Raw genomic sequence first — 26,596 nt, 5'->3', positions numbered from 1 at the left:
CTCATTTAGAGCAGTTTCCACTATCCTTGGTTTTCCAATATAGTCATTCCCCTCTTCTTCCTTCTTTTAGCATATACCCTTGCCTTTGATTCTTGTTTTCTAGTTTGGGATTTTATTGTAAAGAACTTCAATTTATTTTCAGGAATTGGGTGTGGTGTAAGTAACAATGACAACCATAATGCTATAAAACTCACATAAGGGGCTTTTAATTGAGCACATAGAATTAACAAGAAAGGAAATACCCATTCATTACATTGTTTATTATATTTGCAAATGACATTTATGAATATTTCTGCTACTTGGCTGTATATAGAACAACCTCCTTAACTGAGATTTAGCTGGGAGCGCACACATTTTCTGTATGGACAAATCCTGGATTGGCTTCGTTATTTGGTGGCCTGGCAACCTGTGGTGATAGGAATAGTTCAAGGCATTATCTATTCACTAGGGCTGGAATAGGACAGCAGACCCCAGAAGCAACATACTGCATGGTTGAAATCCTTGGTCCAACATTTAATATTAATTTTTTTAATTTTAGAGATGATCCCAAGTGTTTAGAAAACTAAGTAAACTTTGTTGTCAAGCAATTTGTCCATGTGGAAAGAATTTAAAGAGAAGCTGAACAATGGAATAAACAAATAAAGCATGTTTTTTCATCTTTCCCATTACAGCTGTTTCTTAACTCATGCACATGTCACATTTGTTACACTGCACTGTGGACATTCTACTTCCAGTTTGACTGATAACAATATCTGTAAAGTGTTTCAGAGGTTTGCAAAGTACTTCTCACACACAACATTTAGCCATAGCTAATACTTTCTCATCAGTTCAACATCTTTAAAGTAGGTGGAGTCGTTAAGTAATCTATGGTCAAGGACATTGTGCTTGTCTTCTGCTCCATGTGCTTGTTACCATGTGGCAGCTTCTGCACCACAGAGCTCTTCTGTAGAAAGTGGGTTACTCCCAAAGCCTCTGGCAGCAGGTGCCACACCTTCTCAATGGGCCACAGGTACTTTGGGTTTCCTGGAGCTGCCAAAAGTGCTCAAACCCATGCAACAGCTGTACTAAAGCAAGAAGAATCACTTTTCTTTTGTTCCACTCTGCGTGCGCGTGCACACATACACGTGCACAGTCATTCCATTGTGGCACTCTGCTTTTATTTTCTTCATAGTACTTCTCAATACCCGAAATCCTATCATAAATTTATTGTCTTCTCCTCCATGAAGACAAGGAATTTTATGTTTTGTTCCCTACCATATCCCCTGCACTTTGAGCACTGCCTAGCACATAAGAGGCACTCAAAAAATATTTGCTGAAAGAGTAAATTAATCTGGCAGAAGGGAACAAAATTAACTGAATAGAGAAGACCAGTCAGAAAGAATTAACCCATGAATGATATGTTGGACTCTCAAAATTAATTTGTTTTGAATTACTGGTCATTTTTAAAATAGTCAACACTGTATACATTTAACACCAGACATCTACTCTGCAATACTTGAAGCCATTACAATTGTATGAAGTAGAAAGGAAATACAATGATTATTTTCCTTGTTCAGATATTGGCACTATACTTAATGCTATTCAAAGGTCCATCATTAAGATAACTCACACTACAATTTCTTACTGTTGAGAACTTTCCTCTTTCAAACTGCCCAATGCTTCAGTATTATTGAAATAGGTCAGGGTCCATTGTCTCATTGTCTAAGGTGTTATTTGAACTTATTGTGTCATGACTGAGAAAATTAAGGAGCATGAATGCAAAGGGTGAGGTTGGAGCAAAAGTTTAGTAAGTGAAAGAAGAAAGCTCTCCACAGTGGAGAGGAGAGCCCAAGTGGGGTGCCATTTTACAGCTGAATGCAAAAGCTTTTATAAGAAACTCCTCTCATCTCTGTAGCTGTTTGAGTAACTTCTCTTATTTGAAAACCTGTCTGCACAACTCCACCTACCTATACAGCTGTGAGATGTCTCTAGGTAAGCACAAAGCATAGTTTTTTCTTGTTTGAGTAATTGTGGGTTTCTTTTAGGTAAACCCCCTCTGTTTCCAGTGCAATCTCCCATGGATCCCCCCGTGTTCATATCTGAAAAGGGGAGAAAACATTTTCCTGGGAGCCTGCTAATCACACAAAGAACAAAAGGCTTCTGTGCTGGACCTTGCCTGCTTATCTGTGCAGGTACAGTCTGAGTTTTCCCCAGGCTGCTCTATTTTTGCCTGTAGCTGTGATTTTCCAGGCAGACTGCTTCTCTGAAGACTAGCCTTAGCTGTCTACCGAACTGATTTTTCATTTTCTCCTCTCTCATTATGATTGATTCAGCATCCAGATTATAGAATTTTTAATTGCTTATTTCTCTACTCTGAAAACATCCCAATAATTCAATACTTACTATATAGTAGGCATGTTCAAGGGGTAGGGAGATAAAACAAGATTCTTGAGCTTATAGTCTATTGACAAATAAAAGACTTCACATTTGGATAAAGCACTAACAAAAAATTAGTTTTTCTCCTGTTAAACAAAAAAAAGAACCCTTAAACTGATCTCTAATTTAGTTCCCACTTATCTTTTATGTATAGCCACAATGGCAGCTTTCAGAACCATTTAGAACTCTCGGCAAATAAGCCAGTATTTATCTGAATGGGATTCACAATGACCCTCAGAGTTCAGGAATGTCAGATAATCACTAAACAGCCTCAGAAAAAAATGAAGATGCCATTTTCTTTATAAAATTTAAGTATTTACAATCTAATCCCAATTTTGTAAAGTAGTGTGTATATGTACACTGAAAAAAGATTGGAGAGTATTATGGCTAATACTAGGTGTCAACTTGATTGGATTGAAAGATGCCTGGATAGCTGGTAAAGTATAGTTTCTGGTGTGTATGTGAGGGTGTTGCCAGAGGAGATTAACATTTGAGTCAGTGGACTAGGAAAGGAAGATCCACCTTTAATGTGAATAGGCACCACAACACCTCAGGTGATCCTCCCACCTCAGCCTCCCAAAGTGCTGGGATTACAGGCATAAGCCACCACGTCCGTCCTAAAGATTATTTTTTAAATATTATTTTAAATCTATCAATTATCTATGAAGCTATTTCAGTTGCTATTTTAAGTTCTTGAAATTAAACATAGATCGAGTCAATGTTAAATCTACCTTGTTCTCATAATTAACATGGAAACAGAGAAGTAAAGCAGAAAGTCCATTACTGTATTTGGTGTCTGTGGAATCTCAAGTTTCCTTCCTCTAAACTTGTTTTTCGTTTGTTTTGTTTCATTTTGTTTTTTTGAGACAGTGTCTTCCTCTGTCACCCAGGCTGGAGTGCAGTGGTGCAATCACAGCTCACTGCAGCCTGGACCTCCCGGGCTCAGGTGATCCTCCCACCTCAGCATCCCGAGTAGCTAGGACCAGAGGCACATGCCACCATGCCCTGCTAATATTTTGTATTTTTTGGTAGAGACAGGGTTTTGCCATGTTTCCCAGGCTGGTCTCCAACTCCTGGACTCAAGCAATCCTCCTGCCTTAGCCTCCCAAAGTGCTGGGATTACACCAAGCCTGATTTTTTTTAAGGCTGGCTACCGTTTCCTCCATAACACTCTTCTGGGAGGTCGTGTGAAACAGCAGCAGCCCTATGCGAGTTCCCCAAGGACAAGCTTGTTCTGCAGTTAATGAGCATATATTTCTTTGTGGTATTTTTCTGCAAACAGCAGGATCCCTTATATCCCTGCTAGTATCCATAACAGAAAAATATCCACTTACAAGCCATAATATATAAGGGAATGAAATATCTTCTTGGAAAATAATAATAATAGCTAACATCTACTACAGACATCACCCTCACCCCACACACGAACCCATAGTGCCCATTCTCTTAGGCGTGGTACTCTTGCCCTCAACACCCCTCCAGAGAAAATGGGAATCAAGGAGCTTAGGCTCATGGTTTACTTACATTCCTACATTTCATACTCTCAGTATCTTAGGATATAGAGATCATCATCCCTATTTTAAAGACAGAAAAACTTTTTGGGTCATGTCAACTGACTTGCCAAAGATTACACATCTACTAACCCAGGTCTTTCTGACTCTAGTGCCCAATTAACCACATACACCCAGTTCTGGTTGAGAATTGAGCAGGGGTCAAAGGCTCACTTCCTTTCACATGGTTCCCAGCTTAAGAAAGTTACATAGAATCAGCAAATAGTGCTTACCAAAGAAAGTTGCATCAAAATTTAATGTGTGGTATTATTATACCTAGATTGCAAAATTAACATATGGTAGTAGTATCTACCTTTAAATTACTGTGTATCAAACTATTTTTGAGTCATTATGAGGAAACTCTAGGTATATATTTGCTTAAAAATCTATTTAGCTCACATGTACTTTTTAAAATATTCAGAAGGGGAAAAAGGGCAGGCTTTTTTAGAATTAAAAACAAGACTTTTCGAAGAAGGAAAAAGCAACAAGATGCAGGAGATATAGGCTAAAAAACAGGAACTGAGAGTCAGAGTGATTGGACAATAACTAGAACTCAAAAGGTAGTTAGAGGCTGAGGAAGACCAGAGTCCGGATGTGGGAAGTGTCTTTCAAATTCTCCTAAACTGAGTATTTATTTTGTTAAATTACAGAAATACATAATTTACTGTACCTTGCACTGTGTACTCACTCTCTCAAGTAACTATGGCTGGAGAAACCTATCTAATAGCCAGAAAGACAGATCCAGATCACATGAAAATACACCCTCTAGTATTTCTCATCCTGTAAAGTTTAATAGGAAATACACAGCACTTTTTTCTAGGAATAGCAACAAGTTTTGGGGAGTGCCCCAAATACTTTGCCTTGTTGCTCTTGAGATCAGCTGCACAGAGAAGTGACAGCTAGGTAGGACAGAGAATGCCTTTTGTGGCCACAGAGGAGTCTCTTAGCAGGAAGAAAGAATGACACAGTCATTGAGAATCTTAAGTTCATTTGTGCTGTTTCCTAATGAACTAAGCCAGTTGCTACAGATTACAGTTGGCCCTCTATATCCATGGGTTCTGCATCCATGAAGTCAACCAACTGTGGATCAAAAGTATGTTTTAAAAATTTTGAAAATAAAAAATAACAATAATAATATAAATAAAAAGACAGTACAACTATTTACATAGTATTTACATTGTATTGGGTATCATAAGTAATCTAGAGATGATTTAAAGTATACAGGAGAATGTACACAGGTTATATGCAAATACTATGCCACTCTTATAAGGGACTTGATCATCTATGAATTTTGATATCCACGAGGATCCTGCAACCAATTCCCTTGGATACCAAGGGACTATATTCAGATATCAGTAATAGACTTATGATCATGGTTATCTCATAGAAAAAAGAAAAACCAAAAACCAATTTTTAAATCTGGCATATGTTTATAAAACAGCACCCCAGACAAAATTTGAAGTTTTGTAGTTTTAGTAAGCAAGTCCTCAAATGACGGTACATCCACGTAGTTTTTATATAATTATGTCTGAATGAACTTAACTATAACTAGTGACATAAAGATCCCAACTAGACAAAGACTGGTCTTAAATATGGGAACCTAGGACTTTATCGCAGCTCTCAGATTTACCCAAAATCCTTCCCGCTGAGCCTCGTCCATGGGCCACTCCAGGTAGGTCTTGGTGTTCATTATCTTCCGCAGCTTGCAGAAGCGCTGGGGAATGGCTTTTTTCTCAATGGGCTCCAGAAGAATGAGAATGGCAGCATCATTGTTCTCATCAAAAAGACGGAAATGGGAGAAGTCCAGTTCATACTTGCACCACTCACTCTTCACAAAGTTTTCAGAAAGCACAAAGACAGTTTTGTGGCTCTTTTCAATGGAGTCAATGATATTGTCAATGATCCACTTGCCAGGAATGAAGTCCCGCTTATGAAGACACAACTTGAAGGGGGGATTGAAGTTCTCCAGCTCCTGGACCATAAGGTTCTCCACCCAGTAGGCATCCCGCTCACTGTAAGAAACAAATGCATCATAGCAGATGTTCCTGCTGGGAGCTTTCCTGGGCTTCCTTTTGGCCTGGAGCCAGGCCCACATCATTTTCATATACCACAGGCCATGGAAACGGTGGCACAGGACCCCCGTGAGCAGGATCAGCAGGAACAGAGCACAGCACATGCCAGACACCAGTGCTGTCCTGTGACATTCCGACACCGAGAGGCGGACATCCTGAACCTGCTGGCCACGCACATGGGATGGAGAGTCACACAGGTAATTTGCTGGCCAATCAATCAAGACTTTGGCCAGTGCTTGCTGCTCCTGAGTGAAGGAGAGGAATTCACAGGAGCAAATGAAGTTATTGCCACCAGCTTCCAAAGTCTTCAGTGTGTGAAATGAGTCAAGTTGCTCCTTAGAAAACGTAGTTATTGCATTCCTACTGATTTTCAATACTAGTAACATGGGTAAGAGGGAGGCATCTGGTAGAGTCATCAACTTATTTCTGGAAATATAAAGTTCTTTGAGTTGCGGCAAATTCAAAGAAAATAAATTGAGATTGTTGTTGCTAACATCTAAAATTTCCAGTGTCTTGGGAATGCAGCCTGTTACACTGTGTATTCGTGTGCTGGATAAGTTCAAATATTTCATCTTTTCTGGCCACTGACAAGTTTCAGGCATAGAATGAAAACTATTCTTACTGATATCAATGTTAGTCAAGTTTTTCAGAGTGAGCAAAGTCTCTCCGGTTTTTTCCAATGATGCCAAATGATTTTGCCTTAAAATTAAAGTTTGTAGAGAGGGCCAGGCATCCTCACAGGCTGAATTTTTCAAGTATTCTTCAACCATCAAATTTTCACTGAGATCCAAGTATTCTAATGATTTTAAATGTTGTGAAAGTAAACAAGGAACCAGAAAAACTTTACTGTTTTCTACTGTGATTCTTTTAACTCTTTCTGTAAGTGAATATAAAGTGCTCAGATCATAAAATAAGTAAAACCTTGGAATATGCAGCCTCCGGATTGTTAACGTTTCCACTTTACCTGGATCTATAACTCTGTCATTATCAGATGCTCTAAAATTACCAACTCCATTAAGGGTACAGTCATCAAACTCTAATTCTAACAATCCAGAAATCTGATTCAAAAGTTTCATAACCTGAAACAAACTTTCATCGGTGATTTTCACATTTCTAAATGTAAACTTTTTAATCAATGAATTTGTTTCACCAGTGGATAGTTCTGAAAAATGGAAAGTGTCCAAATCAGTATCTCGCAGTTCCAAACATTCCACGGAACTTGTAACATCTACAAAAATCTCCAGCAGTAAAATATGCTGCTTCATATGAAGGATCAGATGACTTACATTCTGAATTGACTTCAAACTTTTTGGCTCATAGCTCTGTAGATCTGAAGCATCAATCTCAAGTTCCTCAAGGAAGGTAAGTCCAGCAAAATCTTTTCTTTGAATCTTAGTGAAGGTGTCCATATTTCCCACTCTCAGGATTTGCAATTTTGTGAGATGAGAAAAAAGAGATGTTTCCCCTAGGGTTTTGTAAGGATTTCCCAGTAAGTTTAAGAATGTTAAAGAAGAAAGGGGCTTGAACCAGGAAGACGATAAATTAGATAAGTAATTATAGGATAAGTCTAAATGTTCAAGACTGCCCAGGGAAGAAAAAGAATCTTCCTCTATTGTGTTAATTCCATTGGATGTCAGCACCAGAGCCTGGAGGTTCACACACCTCTGTAGGTCACTGTTGCTAATGTAGGTGATCCTGTTGTTGGACAGGTCAAGGCTTTTTACAGCTTCTGTGAGCCCTGAGGGAATGGAGTTTAAAGATCCTGAGCTGCCCTTGCAGATACCATTGCGGTCACAAGACAGAGAAGCCTGATTGGAGGATTCTTCCTTGGAGAGGCTGATGATGACCCCCAAGACCCACACCATCCACAAAGTATGTGGCATTGTCCAGTGCTTCAACCTACAAATAAAAGAGGTTCAAATAAGTCATTGTGTTTGACAGCATATCGTAATTCTAATTCTTGAGAAATGTTTTCTAGGCATAACACACACACACACACACACACACACACACACACACACACACACAAAGAGAGAGAGAGAGAGAAACAGATGAATGGAACGAATGAATGGGGATAAAAAAATGAATTCCCTGATACATTCAGCAATGCTAACACAGACATACAACCACTATGCAGTACTTAAAAGCACAACCATCCGGAATTACAGAGCAAGACTCAATAACATGGATTGGAAGAGTGAGTAAATCAATGAATGGAGGAATGAGCAATCAAGCCTTTTAAGAAATGGGCTAAGCTTAACCATATGGATTTACAATCACCTTTTTCTGCACTTCAAACTTTCTTAACATTTAAGCATTTCTTTTCTCCGCTTCAGTGGCCGCCTTGATTCATAGAGATCTCACAGAACCAAACTATAGTTCTCATTCACTGAATGAAACTCCAGGAGTAGCATGCTTTGGGACCAAAAGAAAAAAGTTCCATGTTCATCAACCTGCCTCACACCTATCACTAGCAGGCAGGAGGGGTGTTGGAAACTCGAGGCAGACCAAGGTGGTTTGCTGAGTTGAAGGAGACTCACACCATCAGAACCCTGTCTTCCTGCCTAGAAGTAAATGCAAAAAGCAGTGTTTAAGTCTGGATGGGCTGTTCAGATTAATGTGGGGGAAATAAAACTATCTGCACCACAACTGCTAGTTTACTTGTAACCATAAACCCAACAACTTTCTCTTTGCCTACCTTCTGGGCCCTATATCATTCTTTGGTCTATTCAGCTACCTCATTTCTTGCATCTGTATGCCTTTGTCTGTATTTTCTCAGTGTGCTAACTATACAAAAATTTTTTTAAAAAATTTATCCCCAAGAACAAAACTTTTTATGAGTAAAACTAATTCCCCACATTCACAGAATCTGAGAGACTATAAAGGCCTGAGCTGTACAATTTATGGCCACAAAGAATTAAAACACAAACATGCTTGGTTTGGGAATTTAAATGCTGTTGAAGCCAGAATTTTTGTGTTCGCACCAAAACCACTGCTTCGCATTCCCTCTTTTTTTTTTTAAATAAATGGGTCATACCATGCATATTTATTCTGGATTTTCTTTTTTTTTTCCTTAGCTTTATTAAGGTATAATTGGTATACAAAGAAACTGTACATAATCAATGAACACAATTTGTATACATTATGTATACACACATATGTATACACTCATGGTATCATCACCGCAATCCAGGAAGTAAACATATTCATCATCTCCAAAAGCTTCTGCCACTCTGCGGTTGCCTTTTCACTTTCATAATGGAATCTTTTTGTCTTAGTCCATTAGTGCTTCTGTAACAAAATACCAGAGACCAAGTAATTTATAAAGAACAGAAATGTATTTATTATAGCTCTGGAGGCTGGGAAGTCTAAGATCAAGGCATGTGCACTGTTGTCTGGTGAGGGCTTCTCTCTCCTTCCAAGATGGTGCCTTGTTGCTGTGTCCTCACATGGGAGAACGCAAGAGGGCAAGGGGGCACTACATTCCATCTCAAGGCCTTTTATAAGGATGCTAATCCCATACCTGAGGAAAGACCCCTCATGACTTAGTCACTTCCCACAGGTCACACCTCTTAATACTTAGTTTTAGGATTAGTACTGTTACAATGGGGATTAAGTTTCAATATGAATTTTGGAGGAGACACTGCTATTCAAACTATAGTACTTTTGATGAACAGATGTTCTTATATTTTATATATTTTAATAGTGAGTTTTCTAGCCTATTTTTAAAATATTTCCTGTATTTTCATAAAGATATTCTCTTTGTTATTTTCTAAAATCTTTATTGCTTTGCCTTTCACTTTTAGATCTATAATCTACCTGGGGTTGATATTTGAGGTAGCAGAAGGATTCACTTTTTTCCCATATGGATGTTCAATTAACTTGTTTTTTACAGATCATCTTGAGGAAATAATCAACAATATTTTTTTGTTAATAGGGACATGCCCATATAGGGGTAGATCTTGTTTCAGTGCTATTCTGATCCAATGTTCATTTGTCTATCCCTATACCAGCAACACACTATATTAAATGTATAATATATCTCAATATCTAGGTGATAGATGTATTTCAAATGTGTATCTCAATATATAGGAGATATACACTTAATAGAGTTCCTTATTCTTCTTCAAATACGTTCTTCTTCCTCCTTGTTCTTCTTCAAATGTGTCTTGGTTATTCTTGCCCCTTTGAATATTATTATAAATGGCAGAATCAGCTTGTCAGTTTCAAAAAAACAAAGTCCACTGAGATTTTAACTGGCAATGTTTTGAATCTATAGAACAATTTGGGAACTATTCATATCATTACAGTATTGAATCTTCCAATCCATGAGCATGACAGATCTCTCCATTTATTTAGGTCTTCTTTAACTTATCACAATAGTATTTTATGGTTTTTGCTTAAAGTTCTTAAGCATATTTTGTGAGATTTATTTCTATTCGATACTTTAAAAACATTTAAAATAGTTTTACATATTTATATATGTGATATGATTTGGATGTTTGTCCTCTCCAAATCTCATGTTGAAATGTGATCCCCAGTGTTGAAGGTAGGACCTGGTGGAAAGCGTTTGGGTCATGAAGGTATACCCCTCATGAATGGCTTGGTGTGCTCTTCATGGTAATAAGTTAGTTTTCACTCTGTTCACAGGATTTCAGGTTATTTAAAAAGAGTCTGGGACCTCCCCCTTCACTCTTGCTCCCTCCCTCTCACTCCCTCTCTCACTATATGACATGCCTGCTCCCCCTTCTTCCACCATGAGTAAAGGCTTCCTAAGGTCAAACAGATGCTAGTGCCATGCTTGTACAGCCTGCAGAACCATGAGCCAAATAAGCCTCTTTTCTTTATAAATTACCCAGCTTCAGGTATTCCCTTATAGCAATGCAAAACAATCTAACACAATATGGCATATACATATATGTAGAAATTCAATTAAATTTTGTATACTGACCATGCATTGAGCAACCTTGCTAAATTAACTTAGTAATTCTAATAGTTTGTGGATTCTTCTCATTTTCTGTATCCCCAATCATCCTCAAGACATAATGATGGTTTTCTTCTTGCCAACTTTTATACCTTTATTTCATTTTCTTTATAACAGATTCCTTTATGCAAGTGCAGTAGGATGTATTAGCTATTATACACAGTGTCCCCTATCACACCCCCTGCCCCACTACAAACCAACAGATAGTTCAAGGCAATCCTGTTATTTAAAGAAACTTTAGCAAGAGAATTTAGAGAACTTCACTGGGCAACTATATAGCCTTTGCAGTAGAGTGAGCTGTAGTAGCTAATGTTTGAAGGGGATTTCTAATCATAACCTCATTTACATTTATTCCAAGCCAGGGAAGGAGCATTTGAACAAAAGATGCCCATTTAGAGGGATTCGTACCTGCTAGAAAGTTCCTTTTTATACCATAGTGCAAATTAAGAGGTATAGAACAATGTCAAATTTTCAGTTGGTTATGGAGTGACAGTGGTACTGTTAGAATCCCTAATCCACACTGACTTCTTATTTCCTACTGACTGGGACATGGAGTTGCCTGTGCCTATGATTGATAGTTAAATCCTTCATAGATAAAAATATATGCTAGAGGGGCACAAGAGACAGTTCCCTGTGGGACACTGTGTGCTACAGGGGTCATCAACGGGGAAGCAATAGTAGTATTTATCTAAGGCTCCACTATTAATTATCATCAATGGAGGCTACCAACAATTAGAGAATTAGGGTTATGAATTCGTCTACAAACTGTCTAATTATCTCTCCTTTTGGTTTTATTATTCAGTTTCTGGAATAATTTAACTGTAAAGCCTCTCCTATATGTTTTGTCTACTGTTAGCTTTAAACATGAAATCTGAATATGTGACTCAAAAAGCCTAACCCTATAGAAAGACCAGATGTGCAATTTGAACAGGTAGTCACACTTGGAATATCAGTGAAATCTGCTATAGGGTGAATTAGAAGATCTTTAAAAGCATATTAGTATTTGGTTCAACATGACATATCCAGCATTTACTTAAGTTTCCTGCAGATTCCCAATGAGGCAACTGAATGCAATCCATCTGTAAATGTTCAAATAGTCCAGTGGATGGTGGAAATGTACCAACTGAGGTTTTTATTATCTTATAAAAATTGTGGATTTGACAAACCAAACATTGATTATAAGCCATTTTAGCAATTTTAGAACAGTCATAACACCAATATTTTTTCATAATTTCACGTTATCTATTCTGTGATGAGTCATAGAGTGCAGAACTTTTAATAATGGCAGCTATATGGACTCAGAAAGGACCAGATAGCTGTCTGATCCATGAGGCCACATTTAACACTAAATTTATATCATTTTAAATATCAGTTTTGTTTCTCCAATTCAGGTGCATGATGCTGTTCATTTAAATAGGTTATCATAGATAATTTGATTCAGATGAATATTATAGTGTTCTTTCAAATTGCATATCTTAACAATTTCAGTACTGGCTGACTTAGCATGAAAATCTGCCAAAGCATTTCCCTGGTATTCAATTAATTCTTATTCTGCTTCATGTTGGGTTGGCAGTTTTATGAACCAATCCACTTCTTTGCTAGAGTTCTGGAAATTCTTACCCAGTCCAGTAGTATGATCTTAAAGTTATCAGAAACCTGTACTTATCAGAGTCCTTTCCACGAATCTTTTAAAAGAACACTTTACGATTTTTGTTTGGTTGTTTGTCTTATAGGTCCACACCCTTTATATAATTGTTTTTCACAGTGTTCCGGAAAGTACCAGAGTAAAACAAGTGACTCTTTGTAGATGACAAAGCTTAAAATGGACTTGGTTAAAGATATGATGAGAGTTCACAATAATGCAATTGATAAGGAAATTGTATTACTTCTGCAACACATAATATTTCACGATAATTAGAATTTTGGCTGATAGTATTATACCACGACTATCTGGTTTCTAAGAATTTCATATAATTTCTGAAGCACATATTAATAACATACCCATACAATATGACTTAAAGAAAGTTCAGCATCACTTATAATTTAACAATTCTTCCCATGCAATATAACATATCAAATAAGCCCAATTAGTTTAATATCTCTCTTTTTTATCAGGAGAGAAAACAATTTCTTTTGAGATATTCCAGAAGCCCATCTAGAAGCTTCCAAAGTTTGTTCAACGTCAAAAGGTTTTAATTTAGAATTTGATTTTGAGAAGTCAAAAATATCAAAAGGTTTAAAATATCTGATTAAAATAGGATCACAGGTCCCTATGAAACAATATTTATTCATTTAACTAGAGTGATTGGTAAAAGACTTCAAAGGCAAATAAAGAAAGCCACATAATTGTAGAAACTCTTTCTCTTTTAATAAGGTGAACTCAGGTCTCTGAGGCAGTCAAAGATCTAATAAAGACAACATGAAGCACAATAAATTATCTCAATAAAACACAGAATCTTCATTTCCTAGGCCAATTACTTAGCAGGTAAAGAAAAGTCTTTCAATTTCTTATTAAGAGCAGACCAATACTCCAAGAAAACCTTGTTGTTTTAACATAGAGGACAAATTTCTAGTTCTGTGTCAGTATGTTTTTGATATTCATGCTCAATTTTTTTAAAAAAAAACTTAGAATTTTCTTCAAATCTTAGTTTGATCACATATAAAATTCCCTTTCCAGGATTCCTATCCCACAACCTTCTACAACTTTCTTATATCCATTCAGTTTTTCTTCTATACTCTTTCTCTTTCTCATTGTCTTAACAACCAGGCATTCTACTTTAGGACAAATATTATTTTATTTTTTCCTTAACAAAACAAAACATCCCCTCATACTTTATAGCTGTTCTTACCCAAAACACATCTTACCTTCTTTTCCGAGTTGTTTCCCTTATTATTTCTGGTAATTCTAGTACCACATATTAATTAGAATTCCTTTTTTTTTTTGTAGATGGGCTCATGCTACATTGCCCCAGCTGGTCTCAAACTCCTGGCATTAAGCAATCATCCTGCCTCAGCTTCCCACAGTGCTGGGATTACTTTACCCTTAGTAATTTAATTTCCAGTGAAAACTATAAAGCAAACAATTGTGAACTGTCACACCAGCATTCTGTACATTGACATATCTATGAACTGTAATTACTAGAAGCATGTGCCTTCTCATGGTATAATTTTTCAATGTGACAGAAAACACATTTGGTAATGGACCTAACTATCTTTAGTCTCTCTGTAATAAGCAAATTCAGTGAAATTGTAGTATACAAAATCAACATACAAAAATCAGTAGCATTTGTATATGCCAACAGTGAACAATCTGAAAAAGAAATCAAGATAGTAATCTCGTCTACAACAGCTACAAATAAAATACCCAGGAATAAACTTAATCAAAGGAGTAAAAGATCTCTACAATGAAAACTATAAACACTGATGAAAGAAACACTATAAACACTGATGCAAGAAATTAAAGAGGACACCAAAAAATGGAAAGATATTCCATGTTCATGGATTGGAAAAATCAATATTGTTAAAATATCCTTACTACCCAAAGCAATCTATAGATTTAATGCAGTTCCTATCAAAATACCAATGACATTCTTCACAGAAATATGTTAATAAAATATAATCCTAAAATTTACATGAAACCACAAAAGACCCAGAATAGCCAGAGCTATTCTGAGCAAAAAGAACAAAACTGGAGGAATCACATTATCTGACTTAAAATTATACTACAGAGCTATAGTAACTAAAACAGAATGGTACTGGCATAAAAACAGACACACAGAACAACAGAACAGAATAGAGAACCCAGAAACAAATCCACACATCTACAGTGAATTCATTTTCAATAAAAGTGTCAAGAACATACATTGCAGAAAGGACAGTCTCTTCAACAAATGGTACTGGGAAAAGTAGATATCCATATGCGGAAGAAACTAGACCCCTATATCTTGCCATATACAAAAATAAAAACAAAATAGATTAAAGACTTAAATCTAAGACATCAAACTATGAAACTATTAAAAGAAAACATTAAGAAAACTCTCCATGACATTGGTCTGGGCAAAGATTTCTTAAGTCATACCCCACAAGCATAGGCAACCAAAGCAAAAATGAGCAAAAGGGATCACATCAAGTTAAAAAGTTTCTGCATAGCAAATTAAATAATCAACAAAGTGCAGAGGCAATACACAGAATGGGAGAAAATATTCACAAACTATCCATTTGAAAGGGGATTAATAACCAGAATATATAAGGAGATCAAATAACTCAATAGGAAAAAAATCTAATAATCCAATTTTTTAAATGGGCAAAAGATCTAAATAGACATTTCTCAAAAGAAGGCACATGAATGGCAAACAGATATATAAAAAGGTGCTCAACATCAATGATCATCAGAGAAATGCTAATCAAAACTACAATGAGATATCATTTCACCCCAGTTAAAATGGCTTTTATCCAAAAGACAGGCAATAAAAATGCTGCAAGGATGTGGAGAAAACAGAACCCTGTACACTGTTGTTGGTTGGGAATGTAAATTAGTACAACCACTATGGAGAACAATTTGGAGGTTCCTCAAAAGACTAACAGTAGAGCTACCACACAATCCAGCAATCCCACTGCTAGGTATATACCCAAAATAAAGGAAATCAATATATCAAGGAGATATCTGCACGCCCATGTTTAGTGCTGCACTATTCACAGTAGCCAAGATCTAGAAGCAATCCAAGTGTCCACCTACACATGAATGGATAAAGAAAATGTGGTATATATATACAATGGGGTACTATTCAGCCATAAGAAAGAATGAAATTCTGTCATATAACAACATGGATGGAACTGGAGGATATTATGTTAAGTGAAATAAGGCACAGAAAGACAAACATCCCATGTTCTCGCTTATTTGTGGGAGCTACAAATTAAAACAATTGAACTCATGGAGATAAGAGAGTAGAATGATGGTTAACAGAGGCTGGGAAGTGTAGTTGGAGGAGCAGGGGGACTGGGATGGTTAATGGGTACACAAATATACTTAGATAAAATGAATAAGATTTATTCTTTGATAGCAAAACAGGGTGACCACAGTCAACATTATTGTACATTTTATGATAAAAGGTTTAATTGGATTGTTTATAACACAAAGAAAGGATAAATGCTTGAGGTAATGGATACCCCTTTTACCGTGATGTTATTATTATCCATTGTATGCCTGTATCAAAATATCTCAAGTGCCCCATAAATATATACATCTACTATGTATCCACAAATATTAAAAATAAAAATACAAAAGTAAAACATACACAGGATTCTCTTAGTTTGTCTAGCTATTGTAGCTTTAAAAAATATGTGCCTGTTTGCCTTAAGCAGCTTTTCTTCTTTGTCCACTGTTGGGAACAGGCCCTCAAATCTGGCCATAAACTGGCCCCAGATCTTGCCATAAACAAAATCTCTGCAGCACTGTGACATGTTTGTGATGGCCATGACGCCCACACTGAAGGTTGTGGGTTTACTGGAATGAGGGCAAGGAACACCTGGTCCACCCAAGATGGAAAACCACTTAAGGCATTCCTAAGCCACAAACAATAGCATGAGCGATCTGTGCCTTAAGGACGTGTTCCTGCTGCAGATATCTAGCCAGAGCCCATCGCTTTGTTTTGGCCCATCCCTTTGTTTCCTGTAAGGAATACTTTTAGTTAATCTATAATCTACAGAAATAATGCTTATCACCGGCTTGCTGTCAATAAATACGTGGGTAAATCTCTGTTCAGGGCTCTCAGCTCTGAAGGCTGTGAATCCCCTGATTTCCCACTCCACACTCTATGTTTCTGTGTGTGTGTCTTTAATTCCTCTAGCACTGCTGGGTTAGGGTCTCCACGACCGAGCTGGTCTCGGCAAGTGGCGCCCAACGTGGGGACTCAAACCCAGGATGAAGGCTCGCTGGAGCAATGGTTGGAAAACGTGGAACAAAGCTGGAGGATACCCGAGTACTCTTAAGCAATCCCCATGGTGAGTAAGAAGGGGAGCTCGGAAGCATCAGGGTAACAATGGGCAAGTGTGGGCTCTAGCTCATTCCACCTTGGAACCTTTTCACACTAAAGATGAGGAGGAAGGAAAGTATAATGAAGTAACAGAAGAGGTGACAGAGCAGGTTTGTTTGCCAGCTAAAGCTAAAGTGGCAAAGGAGGGAGAGGTTTGTCCCTACCCTTCTGCACCCCCTCATTATTTCGAAGCAAAAGAGTAGCCTGATCCTCCAGATCTTTCTTTTCCAGAGGACACTGGGCAAAAAGTAGTCGCCCCAGTGACTGAGCAGCACCTCGAGCGACCACTCTCAGTTCTATTCAGCCAGGAATTCAGCAAGTTAGAAGAGAGGGTGATATAGAGGCTTAGCAGTTCCCTGTTAGAATATACCCCGTAGATCAACAGGGAAATATTATAGCTACATTTGAGCCTTTTCCTTTTAAATTACTCAAAGAATTTAAACAAGCTATTAATCCATATGGAACAGGTTCTCCTTTTGTAATGGGACTGTTAAAGAAGGTTGCTGTCTCCAGTCAGATGATGCCAGCGGGGATGGTAGGATTACTTCTAGGTAGGTCTAGTTTAAATTTAAAAGGCGTGCAAGTACAAACAGGAGTCATTGATTCAGATTACAAAGGGGAAATTCAAATTGTTATATCTACTTCTGTTCCCTGGAAAGCAGAGCCAGGAGAGCATATAGCACAGCTCCTGATTATGCCATATGTGGAAATGGGGAAAAGTGAAATTAAATGAACAGGAAGATTTGGAAGCACAAATAAACAAGGCAAAGCAGCTTATTGGGTGAATCAAATTACTGATAAACATCCTACTGGTGAAATAACTATTCAGGGAAAGAAATTTAAAAGTTTGGTAGATACAGGAGCGGACATTTCAATCATTTCTGTACAGCACTGGCCATCTGCATGGTCAATTCAACCTGCTCAATTTAACATAGTTGGAGTTGGTAAAGCCCTTAAAGTATATCAAAGTAGTTATATTTTGCATTGTGAAGGGCCCAATGGACAACCTGGGACTATACAAAAAATTATAACTTCTGTACCTATAAATTTATAGGGAAGAGATTTATTACAACAATGGGGATCACAAGTTCTAATTCCAGAATAATTATACAGCCCTCAAAGTCAACATATGATGCATGAAATGGGGTATGTCCCTGGTATGGGACTAGGAAAAAATTTGCAAGCTTTGAAGGAAATGCTTCAAGCGGAAAGACAAAGTTCCCACCAAGGTTTAGGATATCATTTTTGATGGTGGCCATTGTTAAGCCTCCAGAACCTATATACCTTTAAAATGGTTAACAGATAAGCCAATTTGGATAGCACAATGGCTGCTGAGTAAAGAGAAACTGGAGGCTTTAGAGGACTTAGTTGCTGAACAATTAGAAAAAGGACACATAGCTCAACATTTTCCCCTTGGAATTCTCCAGTTTTTGTAATTAAGAAAAAATCAGGTAAATGCAGAATGTTAACTGACTTAAGAGCCATTAATTCAGTTATACAACCTATGGGGACATTGCAGCCGGGACTGCCTTCTTCTGCTATGATTCCAAAAAATTGGCCTTTAATAGTCATAAATTTAAAAGACTGTTTCTTTACTATCCCCTTAGCTGAGCAAGGCTGTGAACTGTTTGCATTTACAATTCCTGCAGTAAAAAACCTGCAGCATACTAAAGCATTTGTATTGGAAAGTGTTGCTACAAGGCATGTGAAACAGTTCAAAAATTTGCCAGACTTATGAAGGGCAAGCAATTGAACCTACTCGTAAAAAATTTTCACAGTGTTACATTATTCATTATATGGATAATATACTTTGTGCTGCCCCCACTCAAGAAATATTACTCCAATGTTATGATCACTTGCAAAACTCGATTTCTCATGCCAGTTTAATTATATAGCTCCTGACAAAATTCAGACTACTACTCCTTACTCCTACTTGGGGACCTTAGTAAATGACACTACCATTGTGCCACAGAAAGTAACTATACGTAGGGATCAATTGAAAACATTAAATGACTTTCAAAAATTACTAGGGGACATTAATCGGATATGACCTGCTCTAGGCATTCCCACCTATGCCCTGAGTAATCTATTTTCTATCCTTAGAGGAGATCCTAGTCTCATTAGCCCTCAGCAATTAACAAAAGAAGCTGAGGCAGAGCTGCAGCTAATCAAAAAGCAAATCCATAAATCTCAAATAAATAGAATAGATCCAAAAAAGACCCTAGATTTGCTAATTTTTCCAACTCAGCATTCACTTACTGGTGTTATTGTATAAGAGCAAGACTTTGTACAGTGGCTTTTTCTTCCACATACTAATTCACAGACTCTAACTCCTTATTTGGATCAAATGGCTACGATGATAAGAAATGGGAGAATTCGGATTGTTAAATTACATGGATATGATCCTGGAAAAATTATTGTCCCTCTCACAAAGGCACAAATACAGCAAGCTTCTATAAATAGTCTTACTTGGCAAACCCATTTAGCTGACTTTGTGGGTATTCTTGATAATCATTTTCCTAAAATGAAATTATTTCAATTTTTGAAATTAACTAATTGGATTCTCCCCAAAATAACTAAATTTAAACCAACTGAAGGTGCTGAGAATGTTTTTACAGATGGGTCTTGTAATGGTAAAGCCTCTTATTCTGGATCAAAAGGTAAAGTTTTTCACACGCCCTATACTTCAGCTCAAAAAGTGGAGCTTTAGCTGTAATTGAGGTATTGACTGCTTTTGATATGCCTATTAATGTGATTTCTGATTCTTCCTATGTGGTTCATTCCATACAATTAATTGAAAATGCTCAGTTATGACTTCATACAGATGAACAACTGATGACTTTATTTACCCAATTGCAAACAGCATTTAGGAGTAGAATGCACCCTTTTTACATCACTCACATTAGGGCTCATACACCTCTTCCAGGACCTTTAACTGAAGGGAATCAAATGGCTGATCGCCTAGTTGCTACTGCAATATCTAATGCTAGACACTTTCACAATTTAACCCATGTTAATGCCTCTGGTCTCAAATGCAGATATAACAGTACCTGGAAAGAAGCTAAAGCTATTATCCAGTGATGCCCAACTTGCCAAATGGTGCATTCCTCATCTTTAACAGGAGGAGTTAATCCTCGAGGATTGGAACCTAATTATCTTTAGCAAATGGATGTCACACGTTCCCTCGTTTGGGAGACTAGCTTATGTACATGTATGTGTGGACACCTTTTCTCACTTTGTCTGGGCTACATGCCAATCAGGAGACTGCATGTGTTAAGCATCACCTTTTGCAGTGTTTTGTGGTGATAGGAATTCCAACTTCTGTTAAAACAGATAATGCCCCAGGCTATACTAGCCAAGCTCTAGCTACATTTTTCTCTATATGGAATATTAAACACATTACTGGCATCCCATATAATTCTCAAGGACAAACCATTGTAGAAAGAATGAATCTCTCCCTGAAACAGCAGTTGCAAAAGCAAAAAGGGGAAACAGGGATTACAGGACACCCCATATACAACTGAATCTAGCATTAATGACTTTAAATTTTTTGAGCCTGCCTAAAGGCCAGATGCTATCAGCAGCTGAAGAGCATCTACAGAAACCAGCTGCAAAAACAGAAGCAGAACAACTGGCTTGGTGCAGAGATCTGACAACAAAAAGTTGGGAAATAGGTAAAATAATAACTTGGGGTAGAGGTTATGCTTGTGTTTCTCCAGGCCAGAATCAATAGCTGATTTGGATACCATCAAGACACCTGAAACCTTATCATGAGCCAGATGCCAAGGAAGAGATTCTGGGAGGATCCCGAGGACCCTCTGGTTGCAGCCATGTCGAGACTGATGCTGAGGAGGACCCAAACTATCACGAGCAACAACCATCAAACACAGCCATCTACCTGGGGACAGATCAAGAAACTGCCATAGAGGGTGGAAGAAAACCTGAGGAAAGTGGGACAACCAGTCACAATGAGTAATTTAATGATAGCTATGATAGCAGTGATCACCATTGCCATTAGTATTCCTTCAACAAGGGCTAACACAGAGAACAATTATACTTATTGGGCATATTTATCAATCTTGGCTGGCAATAATGCCTGGATGTAATCATTCTATGACACAGTTACACATGCTTTCTGATCTCAGTATTTACCATAATAAATCTGTTTCTATAATTGAGGCATATTGCCCTCAAAAACCTATTTGTAAACAGAATTGGACCTGGCCAGAAATAATGAACATACTTGTTTGGGAAGATTGCATTGCAGAATAGGCAGAGGTGCTGCGCAGTGATTCCTATGGAATCATTATTGATTGGTCCCCTAAGGGGATGTTTAGCTTAAATTGCACCTCTCAGTCTGCGTGCCATGGCCACACTATGTTTAGCTGGTCTAAACAAAATGGTCAGATGGTAGAAATAGCAAGAAATATGGCAAGAGTTCCTATTATCTGGAAACATGATGGTATAGTGGCACCTCACCCTCAAATGATATGGCCCGCTGTAGGAGCTAAACATAAGGATTTGTGGAAACTATTAATGGCTCTTAAATAAGACCAAATTCAGGAAAGAATAAAAAAGCACCTAGAAGACACTCTACAAACTTGTCTTTCCATATTGCAATATTAAAAGAACAAATATTTAAAGCATTCCAGGCACACCAGACCTTAATGCCAGGAACTGGAGTGCTTGAAGGAGCTGCAGACAGATTAGCAGTGATTAACCCATTAAAATAGATAAAGACACTTGGAAGCTCTGTGATTTCAATGATGGTTGTGCTTTTAATCTGTGTTGTTTGTCTTTGTATAGTATGCATATGCGAATCCCGACTCCTGCAAGAAGTAGCTCACTGTGACAAAGCTGCCTTTGCTTTTATTGCTTTGCAAAACAAAAAAGGGGGACATGTGGGAACAGGCTCCCAAACCTGGCCATAAACTAGCCCCAGATTTGGCCATAAACAAAATCTCTGCAGCACTGTGACATGTTTGTGACAGCCATGACGCCCACGCTGAAGGTTGTGGGTTTACTGGAATGAGGGCAAGGAACACCTGGCCCACCCAGGGCAGAAAACCGCTTAACGTGTTCCTAAGCCACAACAATAGCATGAGCAATCTGTGCCTTAAGGACGTGTTCCTGCTGCAGACATCTAGCCAGAGCCTATCCCTTTGTTTCGGCCCATCCCTTTGTTTCCTGTAAGGAATACTTTTAGTTAATCTATAATCTATAGCGATAATGCTTATCACTGGCTTGCTGTCAGTAAATATGTGGGTAAATCTCTGTTAGGGGCTCTCAGCTCTGAAGGCTGTGAGTCCCCTGATTTCCCACTCCACACTCTACATTTCTGTGTGTGTGTCTTTGATTCCTCTAGCGCTGCTGGGTTAGGGTCTCCACGACCGAGCTGGTCTCAGCAGTCCATTGTAATTCTAAGTTACCTTTAGTAAGGCTCACACATTTCTCTAGAAAAGCACAGGTTCTTGGTCCATAATTCTTATAAATGAAATCGGCTGGAGTTGCAGATGGAGTTGTAGACTCCTTAAATCCAGATAAGCCCAGGATTCCCTGTCTTCTAGTAACCTTATCTACTTGAGGCCTCCTAGAGCACCAGTCCAGTTTCAGTTTCTTCACTGAATCCAATCCAATTCTGGAGCCAATCCATCAAAGAATTGCTCAAATAAAGTCAGAGAGCTGAAAATGCAAATGTATAGTGCTCAAGTCTGAGCAGGAACTTACCCACAACTACCAGTTGAAAGCAGTGAAAGAGCAATGGGCACAATGAGCCCCACAGGTACCTTCACTTGGTCACTAAGAGCTCCTGGGAGTCACTATAGGTCTCCTTTGGATCCTGCTTGCAACACCAAACACTGTTAAAAGAGAAACTTCAGACAAATTAAATTTGACAGAGTTTATTTTAGCAAAGAATGATTCATGAATCAGGCAGCACTCAGATTCACAAAAGTTTCAGAGAGCATCCAACAGTGTGAGCAGTGAGCTTTTATAGGCCAAACACAAGAGCATAGTAATCACCTGATTGGCTTCAGCTAGGAGTCTGCCTTATTTGGGTATGGTGTAATAGGCATTTACCTTGTTTGGGCATAGTCTGATCAGTTGGCTGCCTGTGATTGGCTAAAGCTTGGCTATTTATGATTTGGTGGAAATTTAGCTATTAATTACAAAAAAAAAGCTCCTAAGTTAGGTTTCAGTTTGTTTATGTAGTATACTAAATTAGGTTGCAGTTTATTATGTAAGAACTCAAAGTGTAGAGACAGTCTCAGGATAATGGCCTCCTGCTTATGTCATTTAACAAAAGAGAGGTCCTCAATTTTATTCCTTAGATGAGTTATTTGTACCAGCTTTTATTGTCTTGCCAGAGGTTCATCATTTTTATTAGCATTTTCAAAAAATCAACTTCTGACTTGATAGATCCCCTATTTTCTAGCACATTAATTTCTATTCTTATATTATTATTTCCCCTGTTCTGATTTCTCTGGATTTATTTTACTATTCCTTTTCCAGTTTTTAAGGTATTTGCTTGCTCATTCATTTTTCGTCACTCTTCATTTCTAATATATGCACTTAAGGTTGTAAGTTTCCTTTAAGCAACAGTTTAGGTGCATCTGACAAGTTTTTATATGTAATTTTTTTCATAAGTCATTAAAAATATTTTCTGATTTTCATTCTGATTATTTTTTGACCCATGGGTTATTTAGAAATTTACTAATTTCCAAATATATGAGAATTTTCTATAAGTTTTTCTGTTCTTTTCTACTTTAATTGCATTATGGTCAGAAGACATATTCTGTATGATTTAAATTCTTTAAAATGTATTGCAATTTACTCTATGAGCCAGTATATGGTCAGATTTTAAGTATGCTCTGTGATTTCAGCTGCTGTTGGAAGTAGTATAGGTTCCTTATGTGAACTACATTGTGTTCGCATTTTCTTTATCCTTATTGATTTTTGTCTGGTTTTTCTATCAGTTACTGAGAGATGTATGATAAAATCTCCCACTATGATTGTGGATTTTTCTATGAATTTTCTATTTTTCTAGTTCAGTCAATTTGGCTCTATTCTTTTTCTATTTTCTAGTTTCTTAATGTTGTTATAAGTACTTATAAATTCAAAATTTTTATTTCTTCTCAGTGAAACCTTTAACTTAGTGAAACGTTTATCTACAGTTATGATTTTTTTCCTAATTCTATTTTGTCTAATAGTAATATTGCCACAACAGCTTTCTTTTGATAAATGGTTGCATCTGTTCACTTTATACCTTTTAGTATCCATAAATGTGTCTCTTGTAAACAGCATATGATTGTTGGGTTGTTTTGAAGTCTAGTCTGATAATATTAGTCTGATTATCATAAAATTTAGTCTATCTCATTTAGTTACTGATGTATTAAATTGCATTTAATATAATTACTGACATTTTGGGCTTTAAAGTAATTGAACTATTGCTATGGTTTGAATGTGTGCCCCAAAGCTCATGTATTGGAAATTTCATCTTCAATGCAACAGTGTTGAGAGGTGGAATTTTTGTTTGTTTGTTTGTTTTGAGACAGAGTCTCGCTCTGTCACCCAGGCTGGAGTGCAGTGGCATGATCTCGGCTCACTGCGAGCTGAGAGGTGGAACCTTTTAAGAGGTGATTAGGTTATGAAGGCTGTACCCTCATAAATGGATTAATGTTATCACCAAGGGAGCAGTTTATTGTGAGAATGAGTTTGTTATAAAAGTAAGTTCTGTCCTCTCTTGCTCTCTCTCACCATGTGATGCTTTCCATCATGTTATAATGTAGCCAGATGACCCTCACCAGATGCAGCCCTTCAATCTTGGACTTCCCAGACTCCAGAACCATGAATGGATAAATTTCTGTTCTTTGTAAATTACCCAGTCTCAGGTATTTTGTTACAGCAGCACCCAAGGGACTGTGACAACTATGTACTTTATTCTTGTCCCATTTGTTTTATGTTCTATTGTCTCTCTTTTCTTGCCCTCTTTTAAATTTGGGGGTATTCCATTAGATTTTTTCTACTCTGTTAGTTTATCAATAAAACTGTACCCCAAAAAATTAACTGATAGCTTAGAAACCCCCAAAACATGCTGTCAACTTCTGGCAGTTTTTGTAAATGTAAAATGGGTACATTATAAAGAACTTAAAGATGTTCCTTGCTTAGAACAGGAAGAACCTTTAAAATATTGGTGAATAAATCATTTTCCAATAGTTTCTGCTCTTGCTTTTGTTGTTTGTTTGTTTTGTTTTGTGTTTTGTTGTTTGTTTGGTCTGTCCCTTCAAGTCAGGCCACCATAGCTACAGTTGCTCTTTGGTAAAAATCTTAATAACAGAGTCAAAAGATTAAAGTCATCTCAGCAAACTTTGAGTTGTCTACACCCAGATTACTCTCCTTCTCTTTCTCCGCCCCCACCCACCACTTCCAATCACCTCTTTCTCTCTCTTTCTCTCTCTTTCAAACAGGAAAAAGACTTTCCTGGCTTGCATTTAAGTTCTAAACACAAGTTCATATTTATAGAAGTTGAAGAAGTTGTAAAGGGCACTTCAAAGCATTCTTACTTGAAGGACTCGACTTTGCTTAAACGCTGTAAGTTGTTTTCTAATCAGAGACCTAACTCACACATCCTAAGAATGAAGGAACGCAGAGGTGGGGCGAAGCCTGCCAGGGAGCAGAGGTCAGACTTGGGTTAGGGAGCCAGGGTCCTGGACAGACCCAGAGCACGGAACCTTTCCCACCTCTGAGCCACGGTGACCAAAATCCAAGCTCCGTCCTAGCAGTAACCAGTGAGCGAGGACACACCCCCTGCCAGACGCTAGCTCGTTGAAAGCCTTTACCCAATCTTTGTCATCCGAGCCAAGAGGGGCCAGGAGGCGGGGAGAGCGACCCTACCGGGAATCAGGGAAGCGGGAGGGCCAGGCCGTGAGGGAAGCGGGAGGGCCGGGCCGGGGCCACCGCCCCCCTCGGCCTCCCGAGGGAGGTGGCGGCCAGAGGCCCGGAGCCCCAGCGGAAGCTCTCCGCGGCAACCCCCCCGGGGCCTGCAAGGTTGGAAGGGCGCTCAGCCCAGCCGCAGCCCATTGGCACTGCACGCGCGGGGTCCCGACCTCGGGCTCTGCAGGACCCTCGGGCTCCCTTTCCGTGTAGCCCCTGCTTCTCCCGAGGGCCGACCTGAGCCGGCTTCGCTGGTGTCCACATTCCCGCGCTGGGCCGTGCAAAGAAGCACCGGCGTCCCGGGGGCCTGGTGCGCTTCCCGCTATCCCCGCCCGGACAGGAGCTAGGGGCCCAGGTGCAGCCGAACGGGAGCCCGGGTTCCCCAGAGCCCGTGACCGGGCTGCGGCTCCCCTCCGCCCCTGCCCGACCCGACCCCAGGAAGGGGTGCAGAGAGACCACACGAGTGGGGAGCGCACGACGTACCTGGGAGAACTCCGAGCAGTCACCTGAGAGAACGCCGAGCAGCCGCCTGGCTGCGCTTTCTCGCTGCCTCCGAGCCGGCCTGCCCGGGACTAGGAAGTAAGCAAAAGGGAAAGTCCGCGCGGCCGGGCG

At 38.6% G+C, this 26,596-nt stretch overlaps 2 protein-coding genes across 23 annotated transcripts in view, besides 1 other annotated feature; one reads left to right on the top strand and one right to left on the bottom strand.

Annotated features, from left to right (window-relative positions):
* Positions 1 to 668, top strand: part of RNF175 (ring finger protein 175) — a 49,865-nt gene extending 49,197 nt beyond the window's left edge. For all 7 annotated transcript variants that reach the window (XM_017008047.2, XM_005262939.4, XM_005262938.4 and 4 more), the window contains one exon: positions 339 to 668. In XM_017008047.2, the coding sequence (XP_016863536.1) occupies positions 339 to 459 (121 nt within the window). In that variant the 3' untranslated portion in view covers positions 460 to 668. The remainder of the gene's footprint in view (positions 1 to 338) is intronic.
* TLR2 (toll like receptor 2) lies at positions 191 to 26,548 on the bottom strand. 16 transcript variants are annotated; one of them, XM_017008573.2, is made up of 4 exons: positions 26,468 to 26,548; positions 22,781 to 22,926; positions 8,318 to 8,601; positions 4,568 to 7,936 (listed from the first exon to the last, which is right to left on the bottom strand). In XM_017008573.2, the coding sequence occupies exon 4, from the start codon at positions 7,918 to 7,920 to the stop codon at positions 5,566 to 5,568; it is 2,355 nt and encodes a 784-aa protein (XP_016864062.1). In that variant the 5' UTR covers positions 7,921 to 7,936; positions 8,318 to 8,601; positions 22,781 to 22,926; positions 26,468 to 26,548; the 3' UTR covers positions 4,568 to 5,565. The 16 variants fall into 16 exon arrangements, with proteins under 16 accessions (XP_047272067.1, XP_016864062.1, XP_047272068.1 ...); XM_047416112.1 differs by lacking the exon at positions 8,318 to 8,601 and adding an exon at positions 22,483 to 22,735 and having other exon boundaries at positions 22,840 to 22,926; XM_017008575.2 differs by lacking the exon at positions 8,318 to 8,601 and adding an exon at positions 22,483 to 22,735 and having other exon boundaries at positions 22,840 to 22,911.
* Positions 26,281 to 26,370: a silencer, noted in NCBI's record as "silent region_15767". NCBI's record gives its function as "represses an Ori minimal core promoter by ATAC-STARR-seq in GM12878 lymphoblastoid cells {active_cell/tissue: GM12878}" and the evidence as "EXISTENCE:reporter gene assay evidence [ECO:0000049][PMID:35858748]".

Source organism: Homo sapiens, chromosome 4 (assembly GCF_000001405.40).
Source record: "Homo sapiens chromosome 4, GRCh38.p14 Primary Assembly".
NCBI lineage: Eukaryota > Metazoa > Chordata > Mammalia > Primates > Hominidae > Homo > Homo sapiens.
Note: the sequence above shows the minus strand (reverse complement) of the source record. Positions and strands in the feature narration are given on the sequence as shown.